Below are 17,106 nucleotides of genomic sequence, written 5' to 3'. Positions count from 1 at the left end.
GCCACATGAAGAAGCCACACGTGGATATATGGCTGACAGCCTTAGCTCACATCCCAGAAGACTGATGACACAACCACCAGACAAAGATGGCTTCAAATGATTCTGGCCCCTAGCTGTTAAGTCACACCCCAAACATCCTGCTTTCCCATCTGAGGCCCCAGACATTATTGAACACAGAGAAGTTGCCACCACTGTGCCCTTCCAAATTCCTAGCCTACAGAAACTTTGAACATAATAAAATGGCTGTTTTATGCCACTAAGTTCTAGAGTAGTTTGCTATGGCATGAAAGAAACCAGAACAATATTGTAAAGGAAAAATTCATACTATCAGTTTTCAAACAAGAAAATCAGAATAAAAAGAGGTTAAGGTAATTAACAAAGGTTGCAGAGAAGCAAAGCAAAGAAATAATTCTGAAACAGACTAATCTGATTCTAAAATCAGTGTTTATAATCATCATGCTACACTATATTCCATAGAGATATACCTACCTCTGTGTCTTTTCCTGTTAACATCTCCCTGGCAAAGAATTATATGCACACAGTATCTGCTTCTCTAAGACCAAACCATCATTCAGGGCCATACTGAATCCTATCTCCTCCATGAAGCACATCCCTAGACTGCAAACCTTAAGAATTTCTCCCTCTTCCAACTAGTCTTGAACTTATTTTCTACAAGTTTCAATCAAAGCAATTCGTGAATACGTAAATACTAGTGTTCCTAAACCACAATTATTGAATTCATTGTTTTTCCTACGCACAGTCCTAGGCTACCCTCTGGATTTTCAACTCCAAATGTCTATAGGATTGATCAAAACAGGAAATAAATATCAGTGAAATGGACTAGATGCAAAAGAATAAAAGCGGTCTGGATTAAGTGAAACTGGGAAGCAAATGCCTCATGTAAGTGAGTCACCACCACCCAGCTCTAGCACAGTGATTTTCTTAATAGCATATATCACTCTCTGACATATTATATATTTTTCTTTATTGCTTCTCTCACCTCATTAGAATATAAGCTCCCTGGGAGCAGGAACCTTTTCTGCTTTGTTTGCTGCTATATCACAAGAGCCTAGAACAATACCTGCCATTCAGTCAATAAATACTTGTTGAAGGAATAAATGAACAAATGTTACCAAATAGGAGTGTAACCTTAGTGTTAGAAGAGCTTTCCATTTTTCAAGAGAAGCCAGAAATAAATAAGTTTATGTGCAATCTTCTACTTTCTAAATGTTGACAACTAATATAAAAAATGTTAAGCCATTTTGGGGATGGGTAAACAAAACATGGCTGCAGCCTTGGATTCAGTCTGAATGCTTGAATTTGCAATCTCTGTACCAGAAGGATTTTAGATTTTTTTTTAATCTTTCTAATTACTTAGAATAGTGCCTTGCAAAATGTAGGTAGCTTGATCAGCAAATAATAACAGTGATGATGATGTCTCAAATATTCACACTTAGGGCCCTACTACCATTCAGCTGTATATTATTTACATGCTACTGAAGTTCCTCTTTCATATCTCAAAGAAAATTGCTTCAGCTTCTGATCTGAAATGACCACCTGGACTTCATGTGATCATCCCACATCCAAGATTCTAAAGCTAAACTTCCACTCCTTCCAGCTGTTAAGTGTTGAGAAATGTCATTCTCATATGCTCCGAATAATAAAAGGGGAAAGGCAGTGAAAAGAAAACAGATTGGATTTCAAAACAGTGACAGAAAAAAGGAGTCAAGTTCTAAACTATATTTCCACAGTTGATAAATAAGAGCTCCCAACGGCAATTTTGTTTTCTTTTTTATAGATTTTAGTATTTTAGGTTATGCAATCTAAAATTTTATTTCAATTGACCTTTCAGTGTTCTCTGGTAGCATGTTTTATCATTTCTACATAAAAATTATTAAGCAGGAATTTTTAAATATTTACTAATTACTTAGAGATTCTTAACTCTAACAAAAAGTCACATCTAAGTAACTATTAGAGAGTGTCTGGCTTTAAAACATGGGTCACTTAGCAACAAGCATAATTGTTTAGGGCTGAAAACACTTTTAAGATACTTTAAAGAAAACATACTAGAAAAAAGAATTTCCAGTGTACCCTATGCTAGCTGACCCACAGCAAGTCAATCATCAACTTTTGAAGACGTAAAATGAAATGAGATGTCTTCGTGTTCCGTGTCTGTGTATGGTCCAATGAGTACAGCCTTGAAATGCCCATAGAAGACATCAATGAACATCAGAGAAATTCAACATATCAAATGATTATAAATCCAAAAGAGTAAAATGCCTACTGGCCTTCTAAGAAGTGTGCATTTAAAACATGATTTTAATGATTAGATAGATGAATTCATTATAAGCAGTTTTTCAGTAATGTCATTGATTTTGTATGCTGGCAGATTTTATTTTTTAAACAGGTCCCACAATGACTTAAATTAAAAGTAACAGTGAGGAAAATTTCTTTAGCCAAAACTATTTTTCAAAATTTAGGTTATTTTAGAGCTATCAACTTCCTACAAATTAAAAATATAGATTTCTATTCACCTATTTTGCTGTGTTCAAGCAACACTGAATACAAAGGTTACTGGATGAGAAGAATCACAATCTGAATTTTCCTACAGACACACAAGTGAAATGGTGAAACACAGTTCCTAAGGCACAGGGGGAAAAGCCCAAAATTTAGGATCAAACCAACCAAATTTGATTTACAGCTCTACCATTTGCTTACGTTTAGCCCCTGGACAAGTTACTTAACCTCCTTAAACTGTACTCAATTTACTTTACTCATTTGAAAAAAAAAAAAAGTGGAATCTTAATACCTTGTCTTAATGTTAATATGAAAATTAAAATAAATGCATATATATCATGTAAGCCATTGAAATTAGGAAAAAATTGTTAATTCAACATGGGATAATCTACCCTAATGCAATGTAATTGCATGTAAAAAGTGCCTAGAATACCATGGTGTCACAAATGATAGCCATCAAAGAGAATCCAATAGATTTTTATTATAAATTTAATGCAGACAATGCTCCCTCTATCTCATCCTTCCTAAGAAAATAAAATGAAATGAAAATAAGTTGCAGGACATTATTTACAATAGAAAATCACTTACATGAAATTTTAAAATAGGGTATGTATTGTAAGTGTGTGTGTGTGTGTGTGTGTGTGTGTCTATACATAGATATGAAATAATCGTAGGATAATATGCATGGAAGTAGCAAACACCAAATTCAGGACAGTGTTGATCTCTAAGGGAAAGACCAAGGCAGTGAGATCAAGGGATGGTTACACAGAGAGCTTCAACTCCATCCTATGTTTTACTTTCTCAGCAATAACATTAGACTGAAGATGGTAAAATGTTTAGTTCTATTGATCTGGCTAGTAGGTGTATGGAGTTTACTATATTACTCACCACATGTTCTGTACATTTCAAATACATTACAATAAAAAGAAGTAGTTTTCCCAGTCATACAAACAGGCAATTTTCCAAAAGAGACAACAGTAGCTGTTCCAGAGATGTACAATAGTGCAGGTAGAGATGAGGAAGAACAAGGATGATGGGGGAGGGAGGTGGAGGTGGTTAAGGGAATAAGAGTGCTGGGTATAGAAGACAGGTTTATCTCTGACACTTTGAAACTAGTAAAATATGTAAAAACCCCCCCATAAGAATTAAAGAAAGAATTCCACTATATAAGGTGTAAAAAGGTTAGAAATGACTCACTGTTAATCCAGAAATCAGGTTACTTTACAGAGTGTACATTATCCAAAAACATCATTAAGCTGAAAATACTTACTACAACCCCACTCTTGGTGGTAGTTTCTCTGTATGTGAAGTTGCAAATTGCCCAGGCTAAATAATATGTGGACATGAGAGGGGTCTGTGAAAAGTGATCCGTAACCCATCCATCTTCCTCAAACACGGAAGTTTCCACTGGCATATTAGATAAAGATAAATAGGTTGCTTGATGCTTGATGCTGATTTTGAAAGTAGCCTTGTAGATTGGCTCATCAAAACAAGGAAATGCCTTTCTGGCATGTGTAGGCGAAAACTGAGTAACACCAAGGAATCTGGAAAAAAGAAAATGACATTCTCAATTACATTTATGTTGTGAGTTAAGTTATGGCCACATTACATGCTTCTGTTGATGAAATAATATATTATTCCAAATTGCAATATTTTTTTCTGAACCAAACTTAAGTGCATGAATAGCATGAAAGCATAATCCATATGTAATATACTTCCCCAACCATAAAAGTTTTTCAGGGAGGTTTCTGCCTCAATTAAAATAAATTCGTTAAACCCAGAGAAGTGCTCATTAGATGAAACATTACACAGTACAGAAAAACAGCTCACTGGCATCACACTGGCCAGAACTGGAAAGTGATGATTCTCCTTTTCAGTGTGCTTCACTTTCTTCTCTGAAGCTGCACAACATGTAAAGACAACGAAACCAAAATCCAAAAATTATCCTCAGATATATGTAGTACATAGACCATCACTTGGGAAATCTCTGTGCCCTAAAATTTCAACAAGACACAGCCTGGTTTTGTTCAGAAAAAGGATTTTGAGACCTGATAAATTCTGGTCTGAATTCTGGCTCCACAACTTTCTTAGCTATGCCACCTTGGGCAATTATTAAACTTTCCTAAGATGTAGTTGGTCATTGCTGAAAAAGTAAATAATCAAGTCTAACTCAAAAAGTATTGCACAGCTTAGAGGAAAAGAAAGGATGTAAAGCACCTATGACTGTGACTAGCATGGAGCAGTTGCTAATTCACATCTTCAACCTTTCTTGGAGCACAGGAATAAATATTTATACAGATCAAGCCGTATCTTATTAAAATTCCAACTGAAAGCACCTTCTATATTCTTTCATGGTTTATGGTTACAAATGAAGACAAAGATTAAATATTTTAAGAAGGACTCTTCAGCCCGGCATGGTGGCTCACACTTGTAATCCCAGCACTTTGAGAGGCCAAGGTAGGCGGATTATGAGGTTAAGAGATCGGGACAATCCTGGCCAACATGGTGAAACCCCATCTCTACTGAAAGTACAAAAATTAGCTGGGCATGGTAGCGCATGCCTGTAGTCCCAGTTATTCGGAAGGCTGAGGCAGGAGAATCACTTGAACTCGGGAGGCAGAGGTTGCAGTGAACCAAGATCGCGCCACTGCACTCCAGCCTGGCGACAGAGCGAGACCCTGTCTCAAAAAAAAAAAAAAAAAGAAGAAAAAAAGGACACTCAGACACTCTTCTAAATAAGAAAAACATTCATGACAAAAGTTAATTAAACTTTTTAAATAATGCTAGTTACAAAACAATATAAGGCAAGTCAATATTAGACTGTTAATAGAATACTATTGAGTTCTGAAGCGATTTCTTTAAAAGGCTTGTTCCTCCACAAGTAGCTCTGCCACCACTCCTCTCTCCATCATCTGTGATATACATGGTTAATCTAACATGGCAACTTTCCCACCAAACCCGAACTTGGCCTCAAAATTATTCTCAGCACAGCACTTCAGGCAACTACTACCAATCAATACAGGTTGACATGCGTATTGAATCTTATTGGCTATCCCTTAGCTCAAAGCATGAGGTATAAATTTTACACTATTTTTAAATTATGAAGCTTACATTGATCATTGAGGGCCTCATTTTTTAAAGCTTAGTTTTAGAATAGAGAAAAATAAAACATTTTAAAAATTAATAGTTACTTATTTTCATAGACAAGGTTTTCGAGAGTTATCTTGGAAATAGCAACAGGCTGCTACACACCACGCTTGGTTAAGTAACTTAACTATCTGACCCTGTTTTTTCATTAGTAGAAGGAAAATATGTTTTCCAGGCTTTCCTTACAAAAGTCAAAATGATAGAATGAGATAATATATGGAAAAGAGATTTTAACTGTAAATCTTCATATGAATATGAGGTTAAAGCTAGAAGCAATATTAGAAACAAATTGTCCTATTCCCATAAATTTCTAAGTTGAAAAAGTGCATCCGGTAGGATTAAATGATTTGTCTGAAGTTACACAGACAACTTGCACAAAGCTGGGTCTAGAACTCACATTTTCTGAATTACATTTCAAAACAGTAAAATTAATTTTTAGCCATAATTTATAAACGTCTTAATTCAGCTGTAAGTAACAAAGATTCTTCTTTCCCAATTTGCCAGTATCATGGTAATATTTTTCTTACTATTTTTTGCTGATTAGTAATACACTTTCTGCTTAATGAAATGTCAGTACCTTTTAGTTAAAATGCACCCATTTACAATTTTGTCTTCATATGCTTTTATCTTACATAATGCTCGTGAATCTTATCTTTCAGCTTATTAATTAAAATGTCCACCAAGCTTAATATTTTTCACTGAGGCTATTTAAAAGATGCCCATGGGATTTTATTTATGAGTCGAAGTTACTCCCTTTTAACTTCGAAATATCTGAGAACTCCAATTCAATCACTGAACGAATATTGTCTGCTATGTGTGAGCTTTATGCTATACAGGTTGAGTGTCTCTTATCTGAAATGCTTTGGACCAAAAGCTTTTCAGAATTTGGATTTTTTTAGATTTTGGAATATTTGCATTATGTACTACCAGCTGAGCATCCCTAACCCAAAAATCCTAATAAAAAACGTTCCAATAAGCATTTCCTTTGAGCATCATGTTAGTACTCAAAAAGTTTTGGGTTTTGTAACATTTTAGATTTTGAATTTTTGGAGTGGGGATACTCACCCTGTATTAGGTACTCAGTATAACTTTTTTTTTAAGATATAACCAATTTCATATTTAAGGCCTTTGCAGTCTAATTGAAAAATATATATTTTTCCATGAAATATATATATATATGTATAATATTTCCTCATGGAAAATTAAAGGACACCTAATAATACTAGGGGAAGAGTTCTACAACAGTTCAACAGAGAGGTTGTAATTAGAATGAATTAGCCTTTAAGTAAAAATCAAAGATGTCTTTGATATTAAGTAATTAGTGGGTAAGAATTTATTATGTGTAAAAGATGTAAATACCTCTGGGCTAAGGATAATTTGATTAAACAAATATTTATGCAGAGAAAAAACATAGTGCAATCTCTTTTTGCCTTACCAAGTAAGTAAGTATGTTAGGGAAGGTAGCAATTTAAATCACTGATCCTCAGGGTTGAAAAGAACTATAAAGATCACCTAGTGACTTCTTCTGCAATTAATATTCTTAATGAATTCATACACACAGTATATATCTATGCACAGAGGGCCACCATATATTCTGATAATGTCTAAATGAGGAAATACCAATTTCACAGTCTGGCACCTGAAGATGATTGCAATTGAATTTCAATTCAGTATTTAGAAAATCAAAAGAAGTCCCTTGGTAAAGAAGAGCAGTTGGACTAGATTACATTTAAGGTCTTTTCCAAGCTTGAGATCCTATAACTGAACAAAAATCAGACGTAAAATATTCCCCAAGTGTGATTGGTTTTTTAAAGATGTTAAATTACACTACCACTAAATAGCTTTTTACTACAAGTTCTATAAAGCATTTGCTCCTTTTAATCATTTATTTTTGAGTGTTCAATACTGGGGAGAAAAAGATAAATATATATGCTTCCTTCCTGCAAAGAGTTTCTATGCTAATAAAATAAACATATACCTAGACGGGTATTATACAAAAAGCCATGACAAAAAGGGGAAAATGTAAGAAGAAATTACATTCTCCTAAAGCAGAGTTTCTCAATGTTGGCACTACAGACATTTTAGGCTGGATAATTATTTGTTGTGGGGACTGTCTTGTGCCTTGAAGGATCTTTAGCAGTATCCCTGGCCTCTACCACTAGATGCCAGTATCATCTCTCCCCAGTTGAGATGGGCAAAAATGTCTCTGGACATTGCAGATGTCCACTGTAGGAAGAAATTGTCCCAGTTGAAAACCATTAGCTTAAAGAACTCAAAGAAGTATTTATGAAGAAGAAAGCATAATAATTGGTCTGAAAACCTGGATGGAAGTTTAAAGGTCATAGTTGGATGGAGAAATGAGTGAGTTGACTACAGGTAGCACAGAAACAAGCCTTCAATAAAGTTTTCACTCACATATTAAGTTTGTGCCCTGTCTGCTGTCTTGCAGATTCTGGTTACATCAGATCTCAGTATTTCAAGTCCATCTGTAACATCTTTTTCAACCTTGATACTCTTTTTTCTAACAGAGAGAGCCAGTTTCCGGTCAGTGCCCTTAACAGGCAACAGTGCCTGCAGAATTTCAAAAATATAATTTTGTCTTCACTGCATATATTTTATGGTTGCCTTCAATTAGTGGAAGTGAGACTTCTCTTCTGCTTACTGTCATTAAAAACATCAAAGAGTCCCATAGCAACGGTGATTTTGAGAAAAAAATAACAAGTTTGGAGTGAATTTGTGGTGAGTTTGAGGTGGTAAGCAGAATACCAAGTATAATAAATATAAAAAATTAATTAAAAATCGAAATATTTCAATTATAATGTGGACATGAAAAAATATATGTAAATATAGCAAAAAGTAAAACAAAACAGCAAAAGGCAGAAGGTAATGGGGACAAGTATTTTGTTGTCTGTTATTCTCCTGCTTTCCTAAACAAAATCATTTTTATCTTTTAATGAATCTGTCTATTACCATAAAAAATTCCACTTTCAAAAGTGACATTCTGGGAGTGTGATTCGTAGAATGTCATTTTAGCATAACTGGAAAAATGTGAATAGCATACATGTATTTTAATTCTCTTCTATCTAAAATAAATTACTTTATTTTCTTAACAACTTGTCTATTTGACATTTTGGTTGAGCTAAGAAGGAAGGCTTAAAGCTCCATGTTGCCTCTGAAGGATATAGAGAATTGATTTCTTCTTATTTCTGCGGAAGTTCACTAGGCAAGCTACTTGTATCAAGTCATTATGATAACATTCAGCAGAAGTAATGCATTAATGTTGGTTGATATTGCCAACAAATTACAGTATGTGATACAAAACAATTTCTGCTCCATTATTTTTCAGTTTGCCTTTTCATAAAGGTAAGACATGCAGAGGAAACAAACATTTGCATAACACTGTTAGTATTCAGATTGATTCATGGCATTTCACTGTGGAATCCGCCAAAACCAAGAGAATCTCACAAACAGCATGGATGACTTGAAAGGTTTTCTTTTTGGCCACATCTCTGCATAACACAGTGCAAAATGATTTTGAACCTACTTCTATAGCAACTGCAATTTCTCTAATATTGCAGTAGTTTAAGATTGGTAATAAAAACTCCCAAGACCTAAAGAAAAGTTTCAATGGAACATCTAGTTACTATTCAACTGATTGCAGTAAGCGGACTGTTACAAGGTCATGGAAGTTACACGTGTCCCATTTAAAATTGTTAATCCAAAATGCAAATTGTTACTCGATGACTAAATTCTTTAAGGCAAAATGGGTCGTTGTTTAGACTGTGTGTTTTTATGCACTTCAATGAGTCATTAAACCTCTGCTATTTCAGAAGAGAAGTACTCCTGCTGAATATTCAATACTATAAGCAAGTGTGTAGTCTATTTTTTTTAAATAACCATTGGAGTAAACTAAAAACATAAGGCAATAATGCCAGCAATATGTATGTAGGAAGTGGTGCATATGTGAATAATCGTGTTATAAAAACAGAGCATAATATTCATAATTGTTTCACCATTTATGTACTAAATATGCTTACCAAAAATAAGTACTGCGTACTTGATCATCATTGTTGAAGGGTATTATGAATGCATTAAAATGACTTTCCCAGGTCATAATATTAGGTTTTCATAAAAATAAATAAAATTCGTGTCTGAGATTCACGTTTTTTTATTGGAAAGAGGCAAAATATTACGGAAGTATTATAAAGTACTGCTGTTGTCAAAACCACATAAAGTCTTAGGAACAATATCTAATGATTGAGACGCCTTTCCCTTGGTACTTAAGGCTTTTCTTCTTGCTGTACTGGTACCCTTCTGACTCTTCAGTCTCTGGTTCCTGCTATCTGGTTCCTGCTATTCTCACTGCTAATAGACAGCAGTGCTGTAATCAGAGACTTGTGTGTTTCTCTTGTTTCCCTCAGTCTTTCTGCTCCCTCAACCCTCTCCATCTCCCAGTATTTGATCCAAGCTGGGAGATTCTCTGGCTGAAATACCACAACCTTTCTTTTCCTTCTTTTTTTTCTGGTGACCAGGCTCCTCTTCTTCCTTCCCACCTTCTTTTCCCATTCCCTGTCTTTTGAACTCTGCTTAGGTGGTAAAAACAAACAGCAGCCAAAGGGATGTCCACGGTGACCATTTCCCCACTGTTTTGCCAGCAAGGGGAAACCCCAAAGCAAGAACGTTGGTCCTACACAAACTGGTACTAGCCCAAGTAGCAGATCTCCAGCCATGGAATAATAAAATTATATTTAATAACCACAGATGTGCTTACCAATTATCAGACACTGTTCTAAGTGCTTTATTACTGATGTAATCATCACAACAACCCTGTACAATAGAATATCATTATCTCCACTTTCCAGATGAGGACACTAGACACACAGCAATTAGGAAATCTGGCCAAGGTCTTAAAGCTAATAAGTGGCAGAGTCAGGATATGAGGCCAAGCAGTCTGGTTCCACAGTCCCTGCATAGGAGGAAGAGAATGAACACACTAAACACATACACACACACTTTTCCATCCAGCGACACAACAAAAGTGAACTATTTTTTAAAAGATATAAGATTTTTAAAAATAATCTATTTTTAAAAGATGTAAAAAGTAACCAACAACCACAGTTTTTGAACTACTTTCTTTGTCTATCCTCTGATTTTTCTTTTTTTAGTTGTGTAGTCATGAGGAAAGATGTGAATGATTAAAACAAAACTTCATCCTGCAGCACACACATAGGTGTGCACTGGGAGGAATTAATTCACCCTGTCCCTGTACAACTGGGGCCACAGTTCTATAAATGTCAGGTCCACCCAGGCATTCAGAAGCTTGGAGGCAAAGAAGGCAGGAAGGGTGAGCCTGGGTTCTTCACCCTTATTCAGCTCCATGCAACACTGCCAATCTTATTCTACCCTCACACTGCCACCACCACCATACAGCTGTGCCTGTTTGTGCATCATTTTAGGTTGTCCAGGAAACTGGAAAAAGCAGGAAGTATTTTTCACGTTTGAATTTTCCAAAATTCTGCCTAGTAAAATTCTATCTGTGGGAGAAAGTATGCAGTCTCCTGTAGTAGAAAGTAGGATGGCATGAACTTTGAAAAACCCTGGTAGAAGCTGGCCAGTAATGTAAATCTGGAAGGCAGTAAAGAACATGCAAAGAATTGAGAAATGATGATGATGATGATGGTGATGATGAAGATTATGATTGCTAGGGGTTGGGAGGATGAGCATTGGGGGTGAAGGAGGGATGCCCTCCTTAAAGACCGTAAAGCATTTATGCCTTAAAGGTAAATTATTTCTTCCTCACTGTTTTTGTATCACTCCTTGAAGTCATACTTACAGAGGTAAGTCCCATTTTTGTAAATCATATTGACCAAATGTCACCACCCTCAAGCACACCTAAAACATGTCCTGCATTGTTTGCTCAAGCCCATCCACATACACAGTGGCAACAATCAGTTTAAATAAACAAACATGTTGTGCAAACCAAACAAATACTGGGAAAGCCAGTATCAGGTCCATCTTTATTTGAAAGGGATCCGAAGCAGATAGGCTCAGTTTGGAGTTGCATTGAATAAATAAAAACAAAGGCAACTGCACAGGCAACAAAAGCAAAAAATAGACAAACGGGATTGCATCAAACTAAAATGTTTCTGCACAGCAAAGACAATAAACAGTAAAGTAAAAAGACAACCTATAGAATGGGAGAAAATATTCGCAGTCTGTACATCTGATAAGTGATTAATGACCAAAACATATAATGAAATCAAACAACTCAATAGCAAGAAAAAACAAAATCTGATTTTTTAAAGTGGGCAAAAGACCTGAATGAAAATTTCTCAAAATAAGACATACAAATGGCCAACCGGTATATGAAAAATGTTCAACATGACTTATCATCAGGGAAATGCAACCACAGTGAGATGTCAACTCACACCTGTAAGAATGGCTATTATCAAATAGACAAAAGATAACAACTGTTAGCAAGGATGTGCAGCAAAAAGAACCCTTGTACACTGTTGGTGAAAATGAGTACACTATAAATTAGTACAGCCATTATGGAAAACAGTATGGAGGTTCATCAAAAAATTAAAAATAGAACTACCATATGATCTGGCAATCCCACTACTGGTGGATTATATATCCAAAGAAAAAGAAATCATCATGTTGAGGAGATATCTGCAACATGTTTATTGCAGCATTATTCACAGTAGCCGAGATACAGAACCAACCTAAGAGTTCATCAATGAATGGATGGATAAAGAAAATGTATACATACACTAATGAAATACCATTCAGCCATAAACAGAAGGAAATCCTGTCATTTGAGACAACATGGATGAACTGGAAGACTTCATGTAAGTGAATAAGCCAGGCACAAAAAGACAAATATTGCATGATCTCAGTAATATGTGGAAACTAAAAAAGTTGACCTCACTGAATTAGAGAGTAGAATAATGTTTACCAGATAATAAGAGGTTAGGGGAAGAATGGAGTTGAGGAGTTACTGGTCAAAGGATATATAATTACTTAGAAAAAAGGAATAAGTTCAAGGGACTTATTGTAAAGCAAGGTGACTATAATTAATGACAATATATTATATTCTTGAAAACTGCTGAGAGTAGATGTTAAACATTCTCACCACAAAAATAGCTATATGAGATGATGCATTTGTTAATTAACTACATTTGTTCCAAATGTATGCATACTTCAAAACATTAGATTATACAAGATAAATATACACAATTTTATGTCAATTAATTTGAAAAAACTGTATATTTAATTATTATCCAGGGTGATCAAATCAAATGGCACTACAGGAAACACAGAAAGACAAACACCAATTGCATAGATTTTCTCCCTGAGTGAGTCATTATTACATGGTCAGAGCTTTTTTTTTAGTAAACATTGTCTAGATACGGTTTACTGGTGGCATTTTGAATTGTGTTCAAAATCCAGCACTGAACTCAGTTTTGCCATATGGTTATGTGAGCCTGACACAAAAACAATGAGCTAAGTCCATTAAGGAATCACAGAAAAAAGTTTTTACAGAAACAAATGGTTCTCAAAGATTTTTTTCAGTTCACAGTCCTCTATAGAGGGACAAAAAGCAATATACTCCTACTTGCTCATGTTAAGCTATCTTCTTACCGAAGTGAATGGGAGAAATGAAGTTGCTTTCGATCTAAAAATAATGTAGTGAATTTCTTGTTTGTATTAAATACCATGAGTATTAATTCATTCTGAGTAAATTACAAGGCATCAGATCACACAAATACCACAGTAGAGCAAATGCCTACCCAGAGATAAAATCCTCCATTCTCTCCCCAAGATTTTTGCAAAAGGATGGTCCCAATTCTCTTTGAGAACTACCACTATTATTTTCCCATTTTACTTGGAGACTATAGTTTCTCTCTAAACAATCCTTTATAGAAAAGGACCTCATATTTTTAATGTCGTCTCACTTTGGCATGTTATAGACCCTATTAAAGTTTGTCAAAGAAAAACAGTCTCCCTTTTGAAAGTGAACAAAATGTTCTTTATCTTGGCTATATTTCCCTTTCAATTCAACCATCTGGATCTAAATTAAGGTACCCTACTTTGAACACGGGTGCGCTCACCATCTGGCTACCCAAAAGTGGCAATTATTTCAGGTAAACGGACATTTTACCTAATTCTAAGCAAGCATACTCTTTTGTCGGAGACTACAGCATAAATACACACCCATTTTTATCTGCCTGCTGCACACCTAGTTGATGAAAAAGTGAGTATGTATTCTGCCTAATTTACTTATTGGTGTGTAGACATGTGGATTTTAGGAGAATTTATTTTCAATGTTCAACAACTGTAGTAACCAAGAGTAGAGAATTTGTCTCAACTTGGGAAAACTTGGGCTTCAAGAGGGAGCTCGTCTTCTAACCTTTGTACATTACAGTATGGAAATCAGGAAAAGCAAGTCTTCCCAGTTGTACAAAGCCAGGCTACTTACAACACCCAGAGGTGGGTAAAACCTTCCAGGGGTCCAAGGTATATAGCACACAGTAGAATCTAATTTCCCTGCCGTCACCAAAATTCTTTTGCTCAGGTCTCTGAGAAGCAAGTTGAAGAATCAGACTGATAGGATTTTAATGAGTTAGTGTTTCCACATAGGCTAAGAGAAGTGGACTGCACTGTAGTATTGCTGTTTTAAGCATTTCAAGTTGCTCAATATGACTTCCTTTATCAGATTACATATTTGTTTTTATTACAGACATTACCCTATAATTAAATTGGCAAAATTATATCTAACTAAAAACCAAAATGTTTAATCATTAATCAAATGAAAATTCAGTGCTTGCATCTGCGTCCTATTTGAAAGTGGGTTTTAAAATGCCAATTTACATTGCATTTTGTGGACAACATAAAAGTCCAACCCTAGCTGAGATGCTGATATGGGTCTGTTTAAAAATGCTCCATGCTCCAAGTGGCTATAGTAACAAAAAATGTTTAATAAATAGAAAGTTTGCATAACTATGAAATGGTTTATTAGATTTATTTCTTTTGTCTTATCAACTCCAGTAGAAACATCCAAGAAATTATAAGATTTACTCTAATAATAATAATGAGGAAGGAAAAAAAAATGAAGAACAAGGACTTTCTCTAAGATGCTGTTTAGAAATAAAACAATCCTGGGATTTTCAGAACACTGAGTTCTGCATTTCTATTGGGATGAAGAGTTTAACTATATGTTAACTAGGTTGAACTTCCAACCAAGTTGTTTACTTCTTTGGGGAAAACTGCAAGAGAGTTTGAGTACAAATACGCACTAGGGGTACAAGAAATCAGTTACGGTTCAAGCAGAAACATCTGGTCTTTTTAAGAGTCCTGTTAATTTGAAAGCATTGACCAAAACAAGCTCAGTTCTGCCAAACATATTTTGGCATGGCTCAAAAAACAGGATTTTTCAAAAGCATTTATTTCACTGCAGCAAGATGTATCAGTAATGATATGCAACTCCCACTATTGACATTTTGACCTAAGAAGCTTGTTCCTAAACATAGTATGCAAATTTGTTTTCTATGCCTTTCCCCCGTATTTGACATAATTCTGGGTTTAAAAAATATTTTTAATCTGTATTCTTTAGAACATGTTGGAGGAAGTGGTAGAAGGGGGTTTAAAATATCCATATCTAATGTCAGGAGTAAGAAAGTGAATAATTTATACATTCACTTATAGGAGGTTTTAACTATCATACAGCTACTAAAGCATTGGGCATTTTATTTATAGGAGGTTACTTCATAGAACTCTATAAATAATAAAACTTTTGCTTACTTTCACAACACATTGCAATTTCCCCAGCCTCTTACACAATAACTTCTTCTGAGAGTTTCCAAACACCATAAGCTCTGTCTGGTCCAGGGATTAGAGAACCAAAGTTCAAGTCCTAACTCTCCACTGACAAGCCTGCTCACCTCCAGGGCCCTGGGCTTCTCCGAGCCCATTTTCTGCTGTTGTGAGAATCACCTGAGAAAAGGAGAGGCTCTGCCTCATTACTGATCTGTAACCTGCCTCCTCTTCTAAAGTTGTTGGTTTAATTTTTAAGCTCACTTTGGTTGTTCATCTGCCCTCAGTCATTTAATTAATCTAAGTTATCTTAGCAATGTGGGAATTAGAGCAAAGAACAAGAATCACTTATTCATTCAACAATATACCTGAGAGCTTACTGCCACAAGACACTCATGAGAGCTAGCATTTATGGTGGATACTCTATATGCCAGGCACAGGGGTAAGTACTTTGTAATGCATTCACTCATAGACGTCTACACCAATCCTACAAGTAGAATATTATTATTGGTATCCCCAAGTTAGAATTAAAAGTCTAGGCTCAAGAGCCAGACTCCCTGGGTCTAAATCCGTGCTTTGTCTGCTCACTCTTGGTGATCTTGATCAAGCTATGTGACACACCTGTGCCTCCATTTCCCCACCTGTAAAATAGGGAATGCTGATAATAGCGTCTACCTCATAGGGTTCTTGTCGGATTGAGTACATGGGCGTGCAATAAGCACTAGAAGTAGTCATGTCAGGAAAAGGTTAATTACCTTCCTCAAACCTCCACCAGAGTTAGATGAACAGCAGAGATTCGAACTCAGTTCTATTGGATTATGAGGTCTGAGCTCTAAACAAGTGGTGAAAAGCTCCACGGCCTCTCGGAAATTTTTTATAAAAATACAAAACTACACAAATGTAAAACGCGGCAAAGACACTAACAAGGCATTTGAGACTGACAACTAGCTTTCCCACCGCTTGGCCACTGGAATCATCTCCAGAGGCAGCAACTCATAAACAAACAACCGGAGTCGCCCTGCCTTAGCACAGAGCTGGCAGCGCCCGCGAGGCCACTTATCGCTGGCTCTGGCCTTGGCAACCTCCACCCCCGTCCCGGTCCTCTCAGCCTATCTCTGGAAACCACTCTTTTCACTCCGAATCTCAACTTGAAGTTTGGGGAAACTTGACGCAGCCAAAGCCCATCCTCTGCTCTGCACCTGGCAGGAGACTAATAGTCAGGGAAGATGGGCATGTTGTGGGTGGGGGTGGAGAACGGTGTGTCCCTGACCTGCCCTGACATGCTAACCTGGATGCGCTGTTGTCTTGGCCTTCAGCGCCACGTATTTTCCCTCGACAGTAACTTGGCAAGCTTTTCATGTCACTCTGGCATCGCTCAGATTATCAGCTACCCTTCAGAAAAAGAGCCCTGCGTTTCGATGGCTAAGGAACTCTGACAGGAAGAGGAGAGGTCCCGACTAGAGGAGGGGGCAGCATTCATCTTTTGGCACCGGTGAGTCAGTTTGCGAAGTTGGCGGCAGCGAGACCCCGAGGCATCTGGGAGACCCCGGAGTTCTGACTGCCCTACTCCGCTTTCGTTTCCTTCCCCCCACCCCTGGCTTCCCGGGTATTGGAAGCCAGCTGGGT

The 17,106-nt window shown here is 36.3% G+C and overlaps 1 protein-coding gene across 4 annotated transcripts in view; it reads right to left on the bottom strand.

The window, feature by feature from the left end:
* The window catches only part of TRHDE (thyrotropin releasing hormone degrading enzyme), a 583,493-nt gene that overhangs the window by 380,017 nt on the left and 186,370 nt on the right, over nucleotides 1–17,106 (bottom strand). For all 4 annotated transcript variants that reach the window (XM_017019244.2, NM_013381.3, XM_017019243.3 and 1 more), the window contains one exon: nucleotides 3,788–4,061. In XM_017019244.2, coding sequence (XP_016874733.1) covers nucleotides 3,788–3,931 — 144 coding nt within the window. In that variant the 5' untranslated portion in view covers nucleotides 3,932–4,061. The remainder of the gene's footprint in view (nucleotides 1–3,787; nucleotides 4,062–17,106) is intronic.

Source organism: Homo sapiens, chromosome 12, assembly GCF_000001405.40.
Source record: "Homo sapiens chromosome 12, GRCh38.p14 Primary Assembly".
Classification (NCBI taxonomy): Eukaryota; Metazoa; Chordata; class Mammalia; order Primates; family Hominidae; genus Homo; species Homo sapiens.
The sequence above is the reverse complement of the archived record's forward strand: the minus strand, read 5'-3'. Positions and strand labels throughout refer to the sequence as shown.